The 24,695-nt window shown below is 33.7% G+C and overlaps 1 protein-coding gene across 6 annotated transcripts in view; it reads left to right on the top strand.

The window, feature by feature from the left end:
• The window catches only part of THSD7A (thrombospondin type 1 domain containing 7A), a 461,834-nt gene that overhangs the window by 359,681 nt on the left and 77,458 nt on the right, over positions 1 to 24,695 (top strand). For all 6 annotated transcript variants that reach the window (XM_006715662.2, XM_006715660.2, XM_006715659.2 and 3 more), the window contains 3 exons: positions 2,524 to 2,639; positions 10,375 to 10,507; positions 11,753 to 11,856. In XM_006715662.2, the coding sequence (XP_006715725.1) occupies positions 2,524 to 2,639; positions 10,375 to 10,507; positions 11,753 to 11,856 (353 nt within the window). The remainder of the gene's footprint in view (positions 1 to 2,523; positions 2,640 to 10,374; positions 10,508 to 11,752; positions 11,857 to 24,695) is intronic.

Raw genomic sequence — 24,695 nt, 5'->3', positions numbered from 1 at the left:
TCTAGAAAATCAAGCAAATACTGTGAATTCAAAAGAAAATATTATTGCCTTTCTCCCTACATGCTAGGTTAAATTCAGTGAATTCTTTCTAATACTAGGTATATGAACCAAAAAATGCAAATTGAAAATTTGTTTTAAACTTCTCTTAATAAAACAGATTACTGTGCAATGGTAAAATCAATGTTATTGATCTTATCTGTCCTCCCGGTAACAAACTTCAGTTCCTATCACATCTGTTTAATTTGACCTTGAATAAGATTTGGGGGGAAATCAATTTCTTGATTTAAACCACAAACACTAAATACAAACAGTACAAAGGATAAAAGAAGCCTGCTGACTGAACCAATTGCCTTGCCAAAGGAAGTCCAAATTCATTTTATTGGATGTAATTTAGGCTGTATAATTTATCTTTGTGTGTTCATTTAACAACTTTGTTGTTTGTAATTTTGTTCTCCACAGTCAGCCAAGTATCTTGCTGTGACTATTTCTCAACTAAAACAGAATATTTGGAGGTTGTCAATGATAACATTGTAAATTTCATTGATTTATTCAGGGCTAATATCTGAGGAGCATGCAACTGAGTAATGCTCTCTCATTGTTAAAGTTATAAAATTGCCTTATTGAACAAAAGTGCTGACAATAATAATTACTGACCAATAATTTCATAGTTCCAAAAGAATTAACTGAATTATATGTGGAGTTTTGCCATATAATGTTTCCTGGTTAAGAATGCAGGTTAAATTGTAATTCTACTGATTTATAATCTAACATGTAATAATAAATTTGCTTCTATGATTCAAATCTAAATTTATTTGTTGTCCGTGACTTTGAATAGTCATAGAAATTAGGGAAATTCCAGCGCAAGATAAATCAAAAAGATTATTTTTGAAATGTTGAATCCTTAAATATTTTAAAATCCACTTCCAAATAAACACTGGGGTTTTAAAGTAAGAGAGGAGAGCATTGATCTATATAATTGAATAAAGCATAGTATCTATGTATGAAGAAGAAAATTTACATAAATACTTATAATACAAGATATGTCAAAAATGAAGTATCAGCAAAATACTATAAAGAAATTATGGGAAATAGATTAATGATGTTGACTTTTTTCACTCGTAGTTCACTTCTGAAAACCTGATTAACTTACTTGACAAAAGACAAACTTGAGCTACAAAATATTTGAATTCTCTTATATAGAGTATTTTAAAATCCTATTTCCCACTGATCTGCCAATTTATTTTAGCAAGAACTATACTAGTTGTTTAGATTATTTTTTCATTGCCTGTTAGCTTACATGGCAGGGATTTATATGACTTCAAAAGAGAATTGCTTAGGAATCAGAATAAGTTATTTGTTACTTTTAATTATATGAATGATATTATTATATTTTACTTTTCTAAGCTACATCTTTTTCTAGTGTTAAGGCTCATTATCAGCATTTGACCTCTAGCAATAGTAGCATCAGATTGTAAAAATGCAGAGAAGAATTGGGAAATTTAAAAATTATTACTTCTCAGCCTTTTGGCTAAGCTCAAGTGTAAAAAATTATATACTAAGTATATTTTGAATAAGACAGTATATTTAAAACCTATACATCAGCTTCCTATTATCTCTTAAGAAGTGAAAGCTTATATGAAGTTAGACATTTCAGTGTTCTTCATCCTTATCTTTCTGTTGTGTTCCCAATAAATAATATATTTTTGCTGTTATTTTGAAAATAGTAGTTAATTTTACTATAATTTATGTCAAAAATACAGTATTTTAGTTTTCTTTACTGATTTACTATCTTTATTTATCTTCACTGTTTTTGTTTCAAAAAAGATATTGTAGTTTATAAAAACATAAAAAAGATTAAATCCCATCATTTAAAACTAGGGACTAATGGAAAAGAAAACACAAATAGATGCACTAAATAAAAGCAGGAATAAAGCAAAAACTGCTTATCAGATTGATTTATACAGTTTTATTATCTTAATTATTATTAAATATGTAGTTTTTAATACAGTATTGTGTTTTGAGCATGTACTGTGTAAAGAACATACTCCACTATAAATTTATTTTATACAATACATATTTTGTAAAAATAAATTGTAGAATAACCTGGAAACTTATAATAGGCAAAAGGCCTAGTCATACAAATATGTATCATAGAATTAGATCCTTAAATTAATAATTTAAATTTTCACAAAATTTTTCTTAAAACATATTAGAATATAAATACTTATTAATGGAGAGATTATAAGAGGATAAGGTATAAGTGTTATATTTGTTTCTAAATAGCATTATTGGTATTAGTAAATCTGCACATCTTTCCTTGAGAGGCTTTATTGAGGTCCGGTTTGAAACAATCAATTTAGTTGTATAGTTCTTGCCTGTAGCAGAAAGAAAGACTCCTGGAAGTTAAATAATACAGATGAGTGACTTGTTTTGCAATTTTACCAGTGAAAATTCTAGAGAAATTAAATTATCTGATTTTCTGCTTTACTATTGAAGCCTAATAATTCCCCTTTGCCTTTCTAGATGTCCTGAAAGCCTTCGACCTGAAACTGTAAGGCCTTGTCTGCTTCCTTGTAAGAAGGACTGTATTGTGACCCCATATAGTGACTGGACATCATGCCCCTCTTCGTGTAAAGAAGGTATGGTCTGCAGAGTTAGGAAGGCTGTTCACCTAGAAAACCTCCTCGGTAGACTTCTGAGGTCTTCTGGCCTAGCAATGTTTGTGAGTTTTGCACAGGGCTATGTAAACCTGATTTGACATGCATGCCATAAAATGTTAGTTTCCCTCTAGGAAATAACATAGCTTTAGAATACCAGACAAGTGAGGTTTATGCCAAAACCTGGCTTGAAATTTTATGATATAGATTAAAGTGAAGGATTCTAAATCTTATTGTATTAATAGTGTTTACTTTCACATTAGTTCTGAAGGAATATATCGTGGTATATGTATTTCAAAATGATATACAGTGCTTTTATCAGTACACATGGCTTTCATCCTACTTAATGGCAAAAAATAACATGGGACCAGATTTGCTACAGATTCAATTATGCAGCCCCAAGAATAGGAATAAAAGAAAGAGAAAAATGGCCAAATTGTTTCTCTGCCAGCATGTAATGTGTCATGAGGAATTTATGAATATTTATTCCCAGTTTGGCTTAGTTTTGCTTTTATTACTTACAGACAAAGACTCGTTAGTATCAAGCCAAATACTTTGATAATTCTTTCTTCACCCTCTAGGTCAGGGTCTTTTCTCATTGCTGATGAGAAAGGTATCAACATCCTCCAGGTGACTTATGCAATAACTGAGCAAATTTTCCTGCAGTGTTACAAATGACGCTGTCTCCTATTTCTTATCTTACTCAACAAATACAGATAATTTTTTCTAAATTTCCTGTATGCTTTTATTTTTTTCATGTTTCTTAACACTTACTAGAGAGATTCAATTAAGAGTCAACTTCTAGCTTAACAAACTATTTTAAGTTGTCAAAATTTAATCAAATCCTTTAGGTATTATACATTTAATAATGGATACTTTTACTGTGTTACTATATTTTTATATAGTTGAAACATGATTTTCCTTTTGATGGTTTTCTATTTAATACCCTTGAAATATCCAATAAAATTAAACCACACTTAGAAGTGATAGAAAATTATTATTATTCTTTATTTTATTTTATTTTTAAGATAGAGTCTCTCACTCTGTCATCCAGGCTGGAGTACAGTGGCTCAATTTCGGCCCATTGCAACCTCAGCCTCCTGGGTTCAAGCAATTCTTGTGCCTCAGCCTCCCAAGTCACTGAGACTATAGGCACATGCCACCACACCTGGCTAATTTTTGTATTTTTAGTAGAGATGGGTTTGTGCCATTTTGGCCAGGCTGGTCTAGAACTCCTGGCCTCAAGTGATCCACCCATCTCAGCCTCCCAAAGTGCTGAGATTACAGGCACGAGCCACTGCAAAATATTTTTATTTAGGAGTCTTTTAAGACATTTAAATAGCTTTTGGCAAATTAAAAGGAGTTATAAGCATTAACTTTTATAAACATGTTAATGGCATGAACTTGCTATGCAGTGTCATTGCCTGACATTTTAATCCAGATTTTCCTCTCTTATTCCTTTTTTTTTTTTTAAGCTGAATAACACCGGTCACAGTTGGCAGTAGAATTGTACTTTCTTATAGATTAATATTTTACCTATGATGGCACTTATAGGTGGTAATTGTTGGTTATTAATTAATTCAATTAAAAAGCATTAATTACATAGAATTAATACACTTACAAATTTTGTTCTTGATGCCTTTATACTTGATCTTTTCTGTTTATATGGAATATGTTCATTTACTAATAATTCCAAGCATGTGCAGTTACATTTATAAGCAAATTGTTAATAGTCTAAAACAAATTTTAAGTGAAAATTTTGAAAGTGGAAAGACTTTGCCTTTCCCTTATTTTGGATATTTTCTTGTATTGTGTAAATTACTCTTTTAAAAAAGTTGATTTGATCTAAAGTATTTCAAGGAAGTAAAGTTTAAAAAAGAACAGAAAATATTTTATTAAATTGATTCCAGAGTAGTCACTAATAAAAGTGAAGAATCAGAATTTTTCTCATTTCTTTAGACCTTTATTTGAAAATAATTTTGGATATTGGAATGTATCCAGGAATTAGGAACCATTTTAATAGCCTATAAATTTTTTCTTAAGTTCTTGAAAACACATTTGTGATTTTGTTACGTATTATATACATCTGGAAAGGAAAGAAAAAATAGAGGTTTTTTAGGAGTAAAAAACCATACTTGAAAAGAAAATAACATGATTTTTAAATTTGTGATTTTTACAGTATGAAGAAACTGATTTGCTCTTTGCTGTTTGATCATTTATAAAATAAAAAATCTAAAACACTGTGATAACTCACATAAAGCACTTTTAAAAACTTCTTAGCAGATAGATGAGAATGAATAGATTGTGAATGCTACATAGGTCTTAATTGAGTCAGTACTTATTTGTGTATATATGTATAAATACTTATTTAATTACTTATTTATTGATTTTTGTATATAACTAGCACACTAATGGTCATATAGAGAAATCACAGTCCCAGACATCAAGGAAGCTTTTAATTGCATTTAACATATAGAACTCTTCTGCACAGCCCAGATAATGTAAGACTTACATGGTTCAATAACAAAATTTAATGGTAAAACACAAAGAGCTCTAAGGAAGGGAATGGAATAATCATGTCAGAGCAAATATATTAAGAAAAATCATACTGAAAAGGAGGTACAAGAGATCTTCTTGAAAGATGAACCACATGAAAGAATTGCAAGTGAGGATTGGAGACATCAGGAAAGCCTTAAATGACTGTGAGAAAGATGTGATTTTGGAACGACCAGCCCACTGGAGCCCAAGATGTGAAGGAAACTTTCCCAGAAGAGACTGAAGATGAGAGATCATGTGTTCCAGTGGGCGCAGCGGTAGAAGGGCTAGAGGATGTAAAGGAATGAAAAACTGAATCGTGTTATGCGGGTAGATAGTGCTGTGGGTCCGGGTGATGATGAATGACCTGGAGCTGGGGAGGGCTCATTTCTTGTGGTGAGTGGCAGGCATGTGAGGCATAATGGGTTTAGTTGGGTTGGTCTCTTGGGGGAAGGTAGGAAACCTCTGTAAGTAAAAATGCATGGTACCACTAGGATACTATTCTCTCCTGGTGTTCCTGAGATGGTGGTGGCAAGAGAGTGCAAAAATGCCAACTCGGGAATCGGCTCTCTTAGAAGCAAGAGGCTCTCTAAGCGGCAGAGCAGTGTTTCCCTGAACACAGGTCATGTCATCCGGAGCAAGGAATGAGTGCTGACTGTTTTATTTGGCAGCTCATGTTGTTTCTCCTAGAACAAAAGGTTTTCAGAAACCCTAAACCTAGGCACTCCGATTTTTAAAAAATCACCTCAGTTGGGTATTTGAGGAAATAAAAATTTTTTAAAGACTGGAGAGTGATAGAAGGGTCATTGTTGGATAACAGTGCCAAGATGCTTTGTGCTCTAGAAGCAGTTTTTTCTGTTTTGCCTGTAGACTGCTGTAACTGAGAATAAGGAGACAATGGTGTTACAGAAAGCTAGCCTTTTGTTGTGAAGAAAATAAAGTAAATGGCATGAGGTTAGTTTTTTTCATTATTTCATAAGAAATGGAAATAACCCAAGTATCATTTTGAAATTACACCAATTTACACACACCATTTAAAAATGCTAAGCAAAGTTGAATGTTCAAAGAGAGGTAATAGCAACAGAAAATTAATTCAAAGTTGGGGTGGTTCTTTTTACTTAATTCTGCGAGTAAAGTCTAAATTTTACAAAGATGTTGGGCTTATTAAAGTGCAGGACTATCCTTCTTTTTAAAATCACTTTAAGGAAGTCAAATACACAATACTATTGCACAAAATAAAACAGAATAGTAGGATTCCAGGAAGAACTAAAAGAGTTGTTTGAAATGTTATTCAGCCTTCTTCTAAAATACCCCTTGAAAAATCAATGCTGATAAAGATCAGTATTAAGTGGAGTGTAGTTTAATCCTGAGACCAGTGCACTTGCTAACGTGTTTTTCAAATTTTTGTAAATTTTGACAGAGGGCATTTTAAAAAATAGAAATACCTTATGCACATAAATTATTTGTACCTCTAATTTTAAAAAATCAATACTTTTGATCAAATAATATATTTGGTTGCTCAAATTCTGTTTGCTCCTTTTTTTTCTCACTGCATTTATTGTGTTGAGAAATAGAAGGAATATTGCAGAGGCTTCTTCCTCATGTCCTAAATCACTAGAGCACTAGAATTACCACCAAAGATCTGAATACTACCTTTACATTTTGCTTCTTGGATGAGACATTTCCCTTTCAATTTCCTATTACTGTACTGCTTCAACCTGCAATCCATCCCATATCCAGTTTAATGAATCAGTTTTGCCTGCCTTTTAAATCCTTTTCATCAAGTAATTTCTCGGTGAAATTTATTTTGAATGTCTTAAGATATCTGAAAAAATGCTATAACTGTGTGAGAGATTACATATCTTCTGAATCTGTGTACCCCATCATCACATGATTATTTGCTAGATGTACGATCTGTTTTTTCCATTCCTATCCTGGATAGGCATTTTTAAGCACAAACGTCACAGGCAGGTGCCCTTATTTTTCGCGTACTTGTTATTTCCAATGAAAACAAAGTGATAGCTTATTTTTATTAATCCTTAATGCACAGCATTGGTACCTGTGCGCTTACCACTATAAAGGAATAAGTGGAAAGAAATAGAAGGTGCTAACTAATAATCCAGTTGAGAAGATGTGAAATAAATGTGTTTGTGCGTTCAGCAAATATTTATTAAGCACTTACTATATGTGACTCTTGTCTTAGGTATAAAACACACAGATGAATAGAAACACTACAAATATATCAACCGCATATAATAAAATGAGCATAAATACAAGCAGGGGATGATGAAAGGTATAAAATTCCCAGTTTGCCAGCTCAAGTTATTAATGATGAAACTTTCATTTTTTGTTTTTAATGTGTGCTGTATAGCTTCCTTTTTTTCTGCTCTCTGATCTGAGGACTGTATAACCTGGCAAAGCTCTACAGCGCTGTAACTTTGAGTACACAAGCAATTTCTTAACTGCAATATGAGAAGAAACAGACCTGCCAATGGGTAAAAACATAGATGTCATTGACACTTCCTGTGTAACCCCATTAAACGTCTTCTCTGGGTGTCATATCTTTGAAGAGTTCCACTTGAATCAGGTCACAATCTCTATCCTGTAGGCTGTACCAGGTTAAGGAATTTGAACTTTTCATAAGAATAAATGGATTGCCACTCTGGAATCCATTAAGGACGTGAAGAGAGTCATCATAGTCTTATATATCTAGTACTAATTTGTGGAGTTTGTGATGAGAAGGCATTAGGAGAATGTTTCAGAAATGTATTCTAAGTGACATTTTTTCTTTCAAATCAACAAACAAAATAGAATTGAAACATTAATGTTTGGTAGCTGCTTCCTCAAGTAGAACAGCCCTGGCTATGCACCAGGTGCCATCTAGGTAGTTAATAAGTAGGAGCTTTAGTCTATGAGGTGCCACTAATGCTGAACTCATTGTCTCCACCAGCCCCCAAATCCCCTGGTCTTAATCCTGTGTCTGTCCTCTATCTGCAGATTGGAGAGTAATTGCCTCTAAGAATTTTGACCAACTGGGAAACAAAAACCCATTTGAGCCCTTTACGTCTTACCTCCCCATTAAAAAACAAAACAGAAACCTCCCTGCTTCCCCCAATGTTAAACAAATGTGAGTCTAATTAGTTTGTATACTTTAAAAAAAAAAGATTATGGACAGTTCATACACATAAAACAAAAGAAAAAAATAGAAATTGTAAAAGAAGGGCAAATCCAGGTAGTGAATAGGAAGGGGGTAGAAGGAAGAGGGAGAGAAAAATTATGCTAGAAAATCAAAGCTGTGGCAAGCTCCTTCAACTGAGAAGAAAATTAGCTCTGAGATTCTGGTGACCAAAGCAAAAAATAGAAGTACAATGGATTCTTTACAGATTGTCAAGGGAGACAGAATTTTCCCTAGCTCTGAATTATTAAAGGAATTTATCACCTGGGCCTTAAAATACAGGTCATTTTGACAATATAATAGATGGAGACTGCATTAGCAATTTATTAAAAGTCCTGTTGACATTTCTTAGATCTTCCCTAGATAAATTATATTTAACATGTAAAAGTTGCAGCTGGCATTCAAACTACTGCTACAATTAAAAGTCCATGACAATATTTTCAAATACTTTAATTCTCTGCTGCCCAATACTTCTAGCCCCCAATTCCCTACTCCATTACCTGTAGTATCCCGCTTATTCATTAAAATAGTTATGCCATCATTAATAGTACAGACGACACCCCACAACGGGAATAATAATTCTAAAAAGTTACATGTAAGCCCAGAATCTTACATTGGGATAGGTCATACAAGGTCGTGTATTACAGTAGATTTCAAACCAGGCCCTTCATCCCAAATACCTGGCAAGATTTTTAAATATCCTATTCCCAAACCCAGCTTCCAGATTCTGATTTAGTAGTCCTGGGTATAGGCCCAGAAATTTGTTGTTGTTGTTGTTAAAGAGATTCTCCTATGAAGTCAGCCATTTACTGATCCATTCTCCCATCCAATACAGAAATCCTCTCTAAACATGGCAGTGAGTCAGTTGCCCAGACCGTGTTGAAGAATATCTTTGACTGAATGAGAAAGGATATTCCATTATGGCAATGTTCTAATCATCAAATCATACTTTCTCCACCACCACAGTATCTTTTAAAAAGGTTTCATTTGATTTCTGATTAAACATTAATTGTTAGGAGCTGCTAATCCTTTAAAATATTTCTGTTCCTGTAGTCTATGTATGAAATATTTGAAGATCTTGCAAAATAATGAAAATGCATCAGGAGGATTCTATTAACATAATTCTTTAGAGAATTATTTTGTAAGTAAAACCCTGTGCCATGCAGCTATTCATCGTTAAAGTGTACGTAATCTTAATTGAAATATATTTTATTAAAGTTGGCAAGTTTTATACGCTACATGATCTGTATACTAAAAGATTTTTGAATCCTTACATCAGTCATACTGTCAAGTTGATGTCTTTATTGAAAGTGTATCTTAATTTTTTCCATTTTTAACATACTTTAGAGTTACTTATTTATAGTAATTATTGCTATTTTGACTGCTTCTCTAAAAAGTCTGTGTCTGCCTCTAAGAAACCACTTTCATTTTACTACTTAGATCCCTAATGTTTAGAATGTGACCTGAATTGAAGGTCTTAGACTGTCTAACATGAATAATAAATGACCGGAATAATTTACAAGTTATGCATTTCAAATTAAATGAATAACAAAGAAATAAAATTTCACATTATAGCACTGAATATATTCTCCTAAAGAAGATTCATTACATGTGTATGAGTCCCATGTGATAAACAGGGCTAGGCAAAATAGCATGACAATGAATTTAAGGTAGAGGAAAATAAATTAATTAGATCTGTCATATTCCTCAAGGGAAAGAATTATACAAAAGAGCAATTACTTTGTGACTGCACCTTAGGAAGGCTAACTGCCTACAGAACTGTTTTCTCCATTCTTCACATTTTCTCTATTTTTAAATATGAATTGATTGGGTTTTTGATATAAATGGTCTTTGGGAGAATTTAGTGAATGTTTAGACCAGGTGAAGCCTCTCAGGGATGTCAAAGCACATGTAGCTGGAGGCAATGTAATTTCTTCACACAGACTGGTATTTAGAGATTATCTCATCAGTGTAAAGTACAGAGGTTAAAAAACTGCTTCATTGCAGGGGACTCCAGTATCAGGAAGCAGTCTAGGCATCGGGTCATCATTCAGCTGCCAGCCAACGGGGGCCGAGACTGCACAGATCCCCTCTATGAAGAGAAGGCCTGTGAGGCACCTCAAGCGTGCCAAAGCTACAGGTAGGGTTAGAGAAATGCATCGTGAGGGAGGAGCTGAACAAATACGTCAACTCCACATCCTTTCCTAGGATAAGGAAAGGAAGTCAACACTGTTCCTTCCACAGGCTCAATGGAGTTGGGATGTTTATGGCTGTAGCTGCCATTCTTGTCTCTTCAGCAGAGCTGCTGTGCTACTGAAATGATGTACAAGAAGGCAAATATTTGTGTAAACTTCCAAGGTGACGTGTTAGCTCCAGTAGTTTGGGGAAATGTCTTATGTTGATATAACATACAAGAAATGCTGAAAAGTGATTAATAATTATGAAACATGTATACTTTAGGAAGAAATTCTTTTTCACTTAGAAGACTAGCCTAAGCATTACTCCCCTGCTCCAAAGAGCACCTGTTTGTAATCATAAATGCTCACATTCTGGCTCAGGAAATGACATCTGTATCTCAATGATGCTGGTAAGATGGCTGTTCTGTTCATTTGTGATCACCTCAAATAAAATTGTAGTTATCGAAGCTATATATCATCTTGATAATTTGTTAGAGAAATTTTACCTCCTTATGATTAAGACAGAAATTATCTAATAGAAATCTGACGTATACATTTGCAGTCCTGACAGCAAATGAAGTATTATGGCATCAATTAATGAAAAATGTAATCACAAAATAAATATTTAAGATGACATTGTCAAATTTGGCATCTTAATATATCAATCTTTAATTCTGAGATGACAAATACTATAATTGTATACTTACACCATGCACATTGACAACTACTGGTTCAAACTTATTTATTTTTGGAATTTGTTTTTGTAAAGCATATTATACTTACAGTTGCTGAGATACTCCTACAATGCTAACCAAAAGAGCACTATACAAAAGACTCATGACTTGAATACAGTTTCATAACTTGAATAAAATAAATATACATTATTTAAATGGCATGCATCACTTCTGGGGCCATCTGGTGCATTTGTTGGCAGTCCTAATCATTAAAAAGTCTAAATGTTCTCTGTAGAGTCCTATAGAACTTGACAATGATGTACTCTTGTCTTCACTGCCAGAGAAAGTACTTTTATATTTAATGTTACTTCTTCTAAAGCCTAGATGGAGATCTAAATTAAATTTAGATAGAACTGAGCATTGCTAAATAACTGTGTTTGCAGTGGTCAAAGTCATGTTTCCATGCTGCTGTGTCTCTGTGATTTGCTGGCATTTTTGCTTCTTCCCCACTGGGCTTCTGTTCCTGTCTTGTAGGTGGAAGACTCACAAATGGCGCAGATGCCAATTAGTCCCTTGGAGCGTGCAACAAGACAGCCCTGGAGCACAGGAAGGCTGTGGGCCTGGGCGACAGGCAAGAGGTGGGAGGCCCCATTCCACAGTTCATTTCTCCAGCATCGCTAGTTTAACTACTGTTTTGATGCATTTGCCACTTGGACACCATGCTTAGCAAACAGAGCAAAGCAGATATAAATCTGCTATGAGCCATTCCACAAAACATCAGGACATAGAAACATGTCTTTTTAAATTGTTCCCATTGTTCTTTGGCATTAGCTCATAATTCTTGAATTTTTCTCTCATTTATGTCTGAAAGAAAGTCAGGCCAAGCTTTCACTTATGACATAAATGGTACACTGAAGCTTTTTTGTTTGTTTGTTTGTTTGTTTGTTTTTAGATTACGGTATCCACAGCATTTTGCTTGCCACCGTAATAAGCAATAAGATTCTTACCTCCTTGCCTATATGCATTATATATGTGCATACATACAATGTAATAGAATTAGTTAACTTTTTCAGAAGTTCTCAGAATGACATCTCTTTCATTTTCATGGCTATCCACAATTCTGTTCATATTTAGTACTGATTTTTAAATGGCAGACTTATTTACTTAATTACAATCTGCACCACTAAATAACGTGGAATCTTGCAGAAATGGGTAATGAGAATGTTCAACTTTGCCATAATTATTTACTAGATATTATAGGGAATATAGAAACTCAAGATTTGGAATATGTTGTTTCTTCCAGACATAGCAAATTCAGTCTTTAAAGAGCACATGATTATTTTTACTCATATTGACTTATAGCATACAGCTCCTGCTGCGTATTTAAAATGTAGCATAATACATAATTGAATATGCGAGCAACTTTAATTTATAAAAAACGTATTTTGCTCTCCCATGTGTAGTTACGTATTTCATGTTGACACAAAAATTTGAAGATGTAGAGCAGAATTCCAGTTTTTGCTGATTTGATCTGGGACTTCATTTTCTGTACAGTGAAAAAAAACTGCCTTTTTAAGAAAAAAATGCTTCTGTTTTGTAAAAAAAAAAAAAAAAAAAAAAAAAAAAAAAAAAAATCCCCTGTTTTTATAATCTTCCTTTTAGAAGTCTTCTTCTGGAACATAAAACTTAGTTTCCAAATAATCTTAAATTGCTAGTTGCAGTAGTTTTTAGGATTTTATTTTATTTGCATAATTCTCATTATGTATCTCCCACCATCAACTTTGGGTAAAACATAACTGTGACTCCCTTTACAGTTATAGAGACTTAAGTATATAGAACTGAAAGTCGTTCTCCTCCATTTCAAATCATTCTTTAAGAAATTGAGTGATATGAGATCTTCTTGTCATGCCCTGCTAACTCCTTCTTGAATCAGGCATTGATTTGCATATATTTTGGGTTCTATATAGAGGTTATAATGAAAATGAGCATGAGTTTGGGAATCAGGAAACATAAGTTTTAGTCTCCATTCTTTTACTAATACAGTGTGTCTTACTCATCCCTTCACCTTCTGGACCTCAATTTATTTAGATTAAAAAAAAAGAGGGGTTTGGACCAAATGATATTTTAGGATTATTCAAATTTTCATAATAGATGCACAAACAATACCCAGAGATCAAAATGTGAAATAAAATTAGGTAAAGCAGATGAAAACCATATCTTTATAAAACACCACTGGAGGAAATACAAGATCAGTAGAAGCAGCACAAGTGTGAAAACAGCCTCAGTTCCAAACAATGACGTATAAGCTGCACAACCTTGGATGATTCATTTCCTCCCTTTAAGGCTAAGAACACAAAAGCCTTAGAGTAGTTGGCACATGCTGTCTTCATTAAACGTTAATTTCTTCCCTCTTCCTGTTTGTTCATAACCCAAGTGAATGTATGCATATGGGCCTTTTGGGTTTTGACACACAATCTGTACAAAAACTATTCTGTCTGTGATTACCAGCAACCTTTGCATTTCCAAATCGGAAAACTGTTCGTTCTTCATCCTGGGTGGCCACCTTGTAGTAGTGAATACTTGTTACCCACTCCCTCTGTGATAAAAGGGTCTTTAGCATCTTCAGTGTGCGACTTTCTCCTATCTTTCTGATTGTTCCATTTTTGATTTCCTATTACTGGTGTCTCTTTCTCTGCCTGTACTTACATAGTGCTTCCTAATCTTGGCATATTTGTCAAACAACTTGCTGTACCTCAGCAATCTTATCCATTTTCAGGATATCTGGGAAGTGAAAGTTGCATTATAACAAGTGATATATTCATAAATATATTTAGAACAATCCCTTTAACTTCCATATGAAGACAGTCTTTTTCTTTGTTTCCTGAGTAGATGAAAGACTGCTTTTTCGTACAGCTTATATTTCTATAGAAACATGAAGTGGAGAATCTTAAGAATGTAGAAGTATCTTTTACTAATTGCAAGAAGACAAAATTTTCTTCCTTTGATGGTCGTGGCTGTTTTCAGAACTCCATATTATTTACTCGCCAAGTTCTTGCTATTTTCATCTTTATCCTTACTTATATGGTCAGAGACTTAAATAAAAAAATGAACTTGTGCTATTTTTATGACAAAAATAATTATATAGTAAACATTAAATCAATCAACAAAGACTATAGAGAAGCTGCTCTCTGTCCCCCCTAGCACATCAGAATTTCTCATTTCAATTACTCATTCCACTGTTTTTGCATTTGGAAGACTGTAGAAAAAGCTATAAATGTTAGGAAAGAATGAAGATCTTTAAACCAGAGAGCTTATATTTTTTAGGAAAATTAGATCACTGTTAATGTCACCTAACAAGAATTAAAGACTGAAACTTATCAATTGCAAAGCCAATCATTTGAAGCTGAAGAGCTGAGGAAAGACTTAAAGTACGGGTTGGGACTTGACTTGTACCATAATATTAGAAGAAGTAGAGAGGATAAAAGAATACAAGATAAGATCAATTCTATAAGCTAAGTGTTTGAGGTAAGAAAAACAAAAACATTAAATGTGTTCACAGAAAAGTGGGTGGATTGAGCTCTGAAGATGTGATCTGGAGCCTGGGGTGATTTTGTGGAAGGCTATAAATGTCAAGATCAGTATTTTAGACCTTGTTCGATAAGTGGTATGAGCAAGGACCTGATGAAAGCAGTGTTTTATCTGTCAGCGTGTACAGAATAAATTAGAAAGATAAGACACATGGGCCTGAATGCCAGCTAGTATGCTGCTGTAGCAGTGCAAGGTTGAAGTCATAGAAACAACAGTAATATGAAATAGGCAAAAATAAATAAATTGTGGACATACGATAGAGGGAAATATTTTGGGGACTTAGTAGCAGACAATAGAAGAGAGATAAAAATAAAAGAGTCAAAGTTGATCATATGACTCTTTAACTCTAACATTTTTAATTTAAGAATAGTTATATTGGTGAAAATTCTAGGTCTAAAAGTAGAGCTAATTTTGGAAAGTATATTTTATACAGTTTATATTTGAGGCCATGGCAGGGTTAGCCAAGTGGAAATATTCAGGTATGCACTTGAAATGTAGAAATGTAGCTGTAGAGATAGCATAAGATGGCAGATGGAAATTTGGGTAACATTTCCATAGAGTGAATTGCTGAAGTTATAAAAAAGCTAAGAACTCTAAAATGCAACTTTTATTATATATATGAATAAAAGCGATTATACCTTATCATTAATAGATTTCTTTTTTCTCTAACAAGTTTGCACTTGTAGATTCTTTAAGCATTTCTTTTAAAGAATTTAACTTAAATGTTATTAACTTTAAATTATTGTGTCCTTGTACTCCCACTTGAATAATATCATGTAACTAAGATATGAGATAGCTAACTTTACCATTGTATGATTCTAGAGATAGAAATGTTTACTTCATGACTTTTATCAATCTATATGTCCATACCAGGAGTCAGTAAACTATATGGCCTGTGAGCTAAATCCAGTCCGCAGCCTGTTTTTTTGTAATTAGTTTTATCAGAACACAGCCACAGCCATTTTTTTACATATTGCCTATGGCTGCTTTCATGATACAAGGCACAATTGAGTAGTTAGGACAGACCCATATGGCCTACAAAGCCAAAAATAATTACCATGTAGTCTTTTACAGAAAAAAATTGCTGACCCTTGATCTAAACCCAAAAGCCATGTAACCAATGATGTAGTCAGAACTTCTAATAATACTGAATAGTCATTACCCAATAGGATCAGAAAATCCCTGGAATTTATCTTGTCAGTTGGGAAGATGTATACAAATTCAATTCAGCAATAAAAGAACTATTTTATAGTTATGAAAGTAGTAGATTTTAAAGACTGGGACAATAGTAAAATATCTGCCTTTAAGGATGAAATTGCAGCATTCTTTTTGGGGGAGGTTAGGAATAAAATGTTGACTCTAAGAACTTTAGTAGTAAAAATTAAAATTAAAAAGGGGCTAAAGGTGAAACCAGAAAATACATGGGCTATGGAAGACAAGAGAGAAAAACATTCCAGCCTTCAAAATTCCCTTGTCTAGAACATGATAAATTATACTCAAAAGCTGGACATTCAGAGTTAATTTACTAAGTACACATAGAAAAGAGAGAATGTGTGTGTCTCATATAATATGTGCCATTCAGCCCAACACTTAAAAGGTCACCTATTATGATTCAGTTCTTCTCCAACGTCTGGACCCTTCCATATTGATAGAAAAATGTAACACAAATTCCTTCTTATCACCTTACTAGCCATGCCTCCTAGGCCTGCACCTACTTTTAACCACCTGTTAACAATAAAATAAAGTGGCCTTTATAGACATACTTTCATTTTTACTCTTAATACTATTAATAGCATAATTTTTCAAATTGGAGGAACTATCTGTGATGACATATTTCAAAAGATTTGGGAAGCAATTGTGTTCCCAGAGCCTCTTTAAAAATTGTAAACTGTTTACTTATGATCTCAGCACTGACATTCGCTCTAAAGCAAATTTGTGAGAATCATCCTTATTCAGAAATGAGTTAAAGCAACACAGGAATAAGAATATAGGTAGAGTCTCTTCTAATCAAGTAAATGCAGTCTTGATAAAATCTATATTTTATATATGTCAAAACTATATGAAAAGTTTTTCTGATCTATTATATTAGAACACAAAGTACTTTAAAAGAAAATTTATATATTCCTGAAAGTTTGAAAAGCACATAGGAATTTTTTATTTATGACCCAATTCCTTTACATTTAAAAGGAAAAGTGGCATAATGCTGAAGCAGAATTTTATATCAATTATCCCCAGAATCACCAGTAATTTTTGCCCAATCTTCTCTAAATTGAATTAGCTACTCTGCTACATAAAATGGGTATTTTCTTTAAGTTCATCAAGTGTTTCTGTAGAAACATTAGAAATCTTTTCTAAAACAAATGCTTAAAATGTTGTGTTGATAGTTTTATCAGGATTCTTGGGCTTCTATAACAAAACACTATAGATCAAGTAGCTTAAACAAAAATTTATTTCTCACAGTTCTGGTGCATGTGAAGGTCAAGGTGCCAGCCAATTTGGTTCTTGACGAAGACCTATTTCCTGACTTGCAGACAGTCATCTTCTCACTGTGCTGTTACATGGCAGAGAAAAAACAAGGCAGAGAGAGAAAGCAAGGGGAGTGAGAGAGAGAGAGACAGAGAGAGAAAGTGCACTCAGGTCTCATCTGAGAAGGGCATTAATCCCGTCATAGGAACCTCACACTCATGACCTCACCTTCAAATACCACCATCACATTGGTGATTTCAACATGTGGATCTGAGGGAGATACAACTCAGTATATAGCAATAGTGCAGGATCCGAACTTTTAAATAAAATTCCTATCATCTTAGTGTACAGAGCTATATGTTTGTTAATATTATGCTCTTTCAGAAAGCTGTGAAAACAGGTAACTCAAATTTCTAAAAACCAATCCAAACTTTCTGAATATAATTCAATATAATACATTCTCTCATAAATATTTATTGAATGCATGCTACATATTTCACATTGCCTTCATGGTACTAGGCCCAGCCTCTTGAGATATTAAAAATGTATAACAAATAGATTCAGTTAACTTAGTATGGTAGAAAATATACTATAGGTATACATGACTTGGGTTACAAGTCATAATAATACAGTAGTAGTGTATATACACAATAATCACTGAAGAATTGAAAAAAAAAAAAGAGATAACCACTGATACGGCATAGTGAAAGAGACACAGCATTTAAATATAGGATGACTCAAGCAAAAAGGCAAGAAGTAAAATCTTTATGTTTAGGAACAGCTCATTGACCAGTTTGCCTAGGGTTCCTGTGAGTGAGTTAGAGGCAAGGGGCAAGGATAGTTTTGTTTTTCTTTTTCTCATTAAAAAAATGAGAAGTAGTGAAGGATTTTTACAAGGCTTTGGGTATTGAGAATGTTATATTCCAGGAAATTTTGTATAATGGCATAAGAAGTAAAAAGAGAGAGGAAAAAGAGAAATTTTTAAAGAAGACATTGACACGATTTGGCAACTTTAAAATTTGAATCATTCTTAAATCTCATATGGAAATTTTAGAGGATCTTTGAAATAGGCATCTTCCCTATAAAATTGTCAATAAAAGAGAAATGCAAATAACATGAAGTATGGCCATATTTCATTTTAACTTTGAAGTGAATAGACAGCTTATATTTTCTTCATACTATTCAAGTCACTAGTGTATAAACTTTGAATAGAACTGTAACCTCCACTGTCTTTTCTCTCTGTTCATATTTATACAGTTCAGATGGTATTTAGAAGGCTGAATTATTGGTCAGTGGCTATGTAATTGAAACCTAGCCATAATAACTATGGATAGAATTGCCATTAAATTTGCATTAGAAATATATGACCATAATGTCAATTTTGGATGCTTTGTTTATTCTTTTCTTTACAACTGCCCTAAGAAGCAATGTCAATAACTACTTCTTCAATGTGTATCATTCCAGTGTTTATTACTTTGTGACATGTTTCTACGAAGAGTAGAATTTTTAAAAGTTGCAAAGATTCAAGGTAGACATATCACATAAATGATGGTAAATTTTCTCTTGCTCAATCTTCATGTTGATAATCATGCCAAGTGTACTTGCTGTAGATTAGATGGAACTAGAGTTAATATTTTCTAGGGTCTACCCCGTCTAGCCTAATCTAATAGCCCCTCTGTTTTCTTGCCTGCCAAGGAACATCTGTTGTAATGTCACTGGTCACTAAAATCTGACATCAGTCTCTTTAGATGGAAGCCAACATAATTTGGATGCATTCTTGAATCTAGACCACAAAAAAGAAAAATACTTCAATAATATACCTTGCATAGGAGAGGTCCTCCTGGCCCTAGGAGTCCTCACCCTGTGTCACTTATTGGTTTAAAAAGATTACAAAAGGAGAGTCCTTAAAAAAAAAAAAAGGTAAAAGAAAAATTCTAATTCTCCCCTATTAAACTTAAATCTAAATGTGGAATGTGCAATACAATAATTTAACTATATTTTATGCTCTTATTTTTTGTGAACAAATATGCTTAAGTTACATGGTTTAATCTATGTTGATGGGCCTTGCTTCACCCTTTGCTGAAAACTCTGACCCACTTTGCTCTTTTTTTAAAGGTTACATTTTAGAGGCATTATTGAGGTTAGGCTCATAATATCTGGGCCAATTTATCCTGGCAGGGCACATTATCTGTTAATTGTCAAAAGAGAGTTCTTCAATAGAAAGAAAAAGAAGTGGAAAAAGAACTAGGTAGGAAAAAGAGAAGGAGCTTGCTTTAAGGAAATTTTATACAGACGTAATTTTTAATCTCTTTTTTGGCTGATATATTTATTAGTTATTACCCAGGTTTTATACTCTGCAGTTATATATACCATTATTTAAAACTTCTAGAATTATTTATATTTTAAAATGTTTAACTTCCTATGAATATTAGCATCCTCGTTAATTTGGGGTTTTGGGTTTCGTTTTATATCTCTCTGGGAGATCTGTCATAAAATGCTTATTAACATTTGCCATTTTTTAAATAGTAGCTCATAAAATAAGCTTGGCACCGTGCTGGGTCTGTGATTGTTCTTGGATGCTCCATGTGTTCTGATGCAGTTAACCCTTCCCAGATCCCAACTGGGGATCTTAGCCAACCTCAGTCTCAGCTACTCCACTGGGAACTGATTATTATTTCCTAGTAAGTTCTCATCCTAGTATTCTCACATATATTATAAGCATCAGTGAGACTGGGGATCATTGGTAACTATTTAGGATCAATCAAAAATGAAGGTACATTTCTTTCCATTGTGCCAGGGCTACACTCAACAAATTGTAGTTAGGAACTATAATTTGGCAAACTTGCCAGTGAAAATCTCTTTTACACAGAGAAAGACCAGGATCATTATATCTACCTAGTAAACAACTGGAGCCCTCTTGGATTATTTATAGGTTTGATCTTATTTCTAAGCACAATTAGGTCTCTTGGTAACTAGCTCACACTCACATTAAGCTTTTTCTTCTTCATTTCTACATGATTCATTCTCGCTATTGCCATTTTTTTCATAAAACCATAGGAGAAAATCACTCATCTAATTACTTAATGAGCTGATCATCTTCTGTCTCTAATGCTACCCAGACACTAGTGTAGTGGTATAAACCATGTTAATATTGTTCAGTTTAATAATAAGGTCACAGAGCTCTTTGACCATTTGCTACATATAATCCAACAGCTTTCACTGCACTAAGGCATTGATCCTATTCTGTTTCCTGTAATGAACTTCTATGTGCCCATTTTGGATCAGGCAATTTATTTCATTCTGATTATTCAAACAAAATGAGTGCATGGCCTTACACGCTGAAGGGTAATTCACTGAGCAATAGAACACCTTCTTCTTGTGAAACCTGAATAATAAGGAAATTTCATTCCTCTTCAAAAATGAAGATGAGCAATTACACTCAGAATTCCATTTGATCTGCTTCAGAGCTGCATCAGTAGCCTTCCATTTACACATCCATGTATGCATAACACAGATATCCATGTCCTCTTAGCTCAGCCAGTGTTATCTATTCCCTTTTAGTCCATGAACCTTTATTATTTTTCTCTTTAAAACATAGCTTGAAACTCAATTTACGTGAAAACATTCTAGAATTAACTTTACTTATTCAACTTACTAATCTTTTTAATTTAAACTTATGGGAAGTTTCAAAGATACACAAAAGTAGAGGGACTAATATAATGAGTACTAGCAATGTAGTCATCATTTACTCAGCTTCAGCAGTTTTTAACATGTTGCTATTCTTGGTCGTCTGTCCACACACTTAAAAAGAATTTTGCTGGAGTATTTTAAAGCAACTTCCAAGTAAGATATATATCATCCATAAATACTTGAGCATTTTTAACATAACAATAGCATTATAATTAGCAATTCTTTCAAACTATCTAATACTTTTATCTAATAATTTTTCTCCATTGTCTCAAAAATGTTTATGCATAGTTTGTTCAAACTGAGGTTCCAAAAGGTCTCCACGTTGCATTTGGTTCGTGTATTTCTTAGGTCACTTTTAATCTGACAACAGTTATAGCTCCCTTTTTCATAGCATGTATTTGTTGAAGAAACTTCTCTTATTTATCTTTACAGCATTTTCCCAATATTGATGGGCTAAGCTTGTTTAAGTTGATTCATATGTAACCCACAAATCAGTCATATTGATTCTTCCCGTGCTTTCAGTCTGCCAGGAGCAGCCTGTCCTATATCACTTAAATAAAAATTGCTGTGCTTTATATAAATACAATAAATAAATGAAGTAAATGGATATAATTAACAGAGTTAAATATGGAATTTTACTTTAAAATAATCATCTTGATTTTTGCGGATCTCACTGAGAAGCTTTCATGGTGAATTATCTGTAGGGTAACATGACTTTTTCCCATCTTGCTAACAATGCTTCAGCTCAAAGGAGAACTTGTGTCATCATTAGATATGACATATACATGCTTCACCTGTAAATACAGATACAAATTTTCTGGGTATATGTAGTTTTCTGGTGTGCTAAGAAACTGTGCTCTTAGTATGATCCATCTTTTCTACTATTCAAATCACCCTGTTTTCAGTGTTTCAGAAATGATTTTTAAGATCCATAAAGTTGAGAGACCAGATGGTTTCCTTTCCAAACATTTATATTTTCCTCGCCCTAGTATCAGGAAGTTCATTTCAGATTGTATTTCTGTGTTTGAATTGTGTTTCCTCTAAGTCAGAATACAAACAAGTTGAGATGTAGGATAAATTTTCAGTATATTGTACAGATTGTGCTGTTGCTGCTTGTTTGGATAACATTGTATGAGTAATTTATTCCAAAAGTACACTGTCTAAAACCTCAGATAAGAGGTGTAAAGTGCAGAGTGAGAATAGCTATGGGAATTTTACACAATTTTTTTTTCTTTTCAACTAGCTAGAGTACTTAAGATTTTATGTAGTGCAGGTATATGGGGAAAAGGGATTCCAGTTTATGTGAATAGTATAGATCTGCACAAAATAAATTGTTTCTGGAATTGTATTGGTAGTAGTGTTATTTTATTTTGTTTTTCTTTTTGGTGTCACATAACAGGATAATGGTTGGAGCAATTCTGAAACAAAATTTGTAAGAAAGACCCTTAAGAGAGAACCTAAGTCAGTTTCATCTAATTTCTCAAAAGATTTATATTGAAGTCTGTTTCAAAGAGCTAAATGGAATGAGTAGGTAAAAGTAGTCTCATTTCAAATAACCCAAATTTAGTTTGGTAATTTTTAATTTTCTTTTAGTTACAAACAGTGAAACCCTCTTCACAGCTTACGATTCTCATATGATCAGATGTCTTATTTTCCAAATATATCATTCTTGAGGCTCTTGCATGTCCTGATTAGTAAAAAGTTTAATATCTTTCTCTTTATCAATTTTTTTAGCATCCTTGGGGCAACTTTGTCCATGAACCATCGGCACTTACTAAGTTTAGAGTGTCTGAAAGGGTCAATCCTGCTTCCAAATGGCAGGTGTAGAAAGAACTTCAAAATCATAGCAGCTCGTTTATAGCCTGCATCTCGAGGATTTCTCCTACACTGTGTTACAGATGATGTTCTTCTAAACTATATGGATGTTCTTTTTTATCTATTCCCTGTACAAATTTCTATCATGCCCTTCCTTTGAACTCCAAGCTTAGAGCTCTTTCAGTTCATACAATGTTCAGCCATTGTTTCCCAAAGCTTGGCATGGTACCAGGCTGATTAGGTACCAAAGGATTTTCTGTCTTAGCCATATGTGTTTGCCAGAACCCTTCCTGTACCTTGAATACTCAAGCTGGTGGGTCTCAAACTTGAATCTGCGTAAGGATCACCTGAGCATCTTGAAAAAAATGCATATTCCTGACCCCATAGCAGGTATCTCATTATCTGGATTGGTCCAGATTATGGAACTCTTTTTGGGTCCAGGGATCTTCATGTTTAATAGCATTCTAGGTGTTTCTGATGCAGGTGAAAATATATTACCTACTAGAGCAGTAGTTCTCATATAGCTTGGATAATTAAATCATCAGAAAGCTTAAAAAGTATCCTAAATCCCAGGACCCCAACCTCAACCAGGGAAATCAGAGCATTAGAGTTTAGTAAGGGCATAGGTATTTTCCAAAGGTTATCCAGGGGATTATAATCTGCAGCCAGACATGAGAACCACCATCTTAGACTGCTATGATTAAACAGAGTACCAGATGTGTCCTCCCTCAAGGGGGTAGATTCTCTTTGAGACACTTAATGTTTTTTATTTGTTTCTGTCATCTAACCTTCATCAAGGCCAACACTGTTCACCCTACCAGGATTTTCATATTTTTAAAAATTTAGGGGCCCCTGTTCTTTTCTTACAAACTGGCCCTTCCAAAGTCAAGTCATGTGTACTAAATGAAAAGCACATCTAAAGCTAAGAAATAGGGAAGTGCATCCACAATTGAACAATTTAGAAGGGCCTTTTATGTTAGGCCTGAAGCAGTTGCATTAAGTTGTGTTCAACTACACAGAGAAAATCTTGCCTTGCTAAAATTGCTAGTTATGTCCATTTACACACTCTATTACAAAGCCCTGCACTCCTAGGCAATAGGTTTTAGTACACAGATCCAGACGGTGTTGTCTAACCTGAGGCCCTCTATGCCCTCACTGTAATTTAAGGTCAAAAACGTCAGGCTCCTTCACCTCGATTTCATGGTGATGGAATCCTGAACAGGGCAGAGATCAGCGGCAGTTTCAGCCTAGACCATAAACCTGAAAAAGCCAAGTAAATCAATCTGAATGAGGCCATTTAAGATAATTCAGTGAAGCCAACTTTAGGACCAAGGTTTAATGTTTCATCTGCTTCCTCAATAAGTGAGTTGTTTTTAAAACCAATGGAAAGGAAATGGCATAGGGAGAAAGTGGGCTTTAAACATGCTTGCTCTTTTTCTTTAAGACTTGTTACCATAAAACACTCATATGTATATGTTCAATAGGTAAAAATATTATTTCTCATTTTAAGTCAGCAGAACAATATCATAGGCGAAATAATTTTTATGAATTTAAACTTTGATTTTTTAAATTTATATGTAATTTTAGAACTACAAATTTTAACATAATAAATGAAGATTATTGAAAATTTTTAAGTGCCAGGTTGATGTTTGTGCATGTGAAGAACTTGTAGAAAGAGGAGATGGAGGACTTTGACATTGCTTATCCATTAATGATTCCAACCCTTCCTAATAAACTTGAAATGTAATACAGTGAACATACTTCCCATGCCAATGCAGTTTCAAGATAAGTTCTATAAGCACACCTTCCTGACCCCAAACTCCAACCTACCAACCAGCTTTCTGCCACTAAAACACTTCTATAAAGGAATTCTAGGGTGTCCAATGATATAAAACAATATTAGATATACCTAGTATCT

The sequence above is a fragment of the Homo sapiens genome, chromosome 7, assembly GCF_000001405.40.
Source record: "Homo sapiens chromosome 7, GRCh38.p14 Primary Assembly".
NCBI classification, from domain to species: Eukaryota; Metazoa; Chordata; class Mammalia; order Primates; family Hominidae; genus Homo; species Homo sapiens.
The sequence above is the reverse complement of the archived record's forward strand: the minus strand, read 5'-3'. Positions and strand labels throughout refer to the sequence as shown.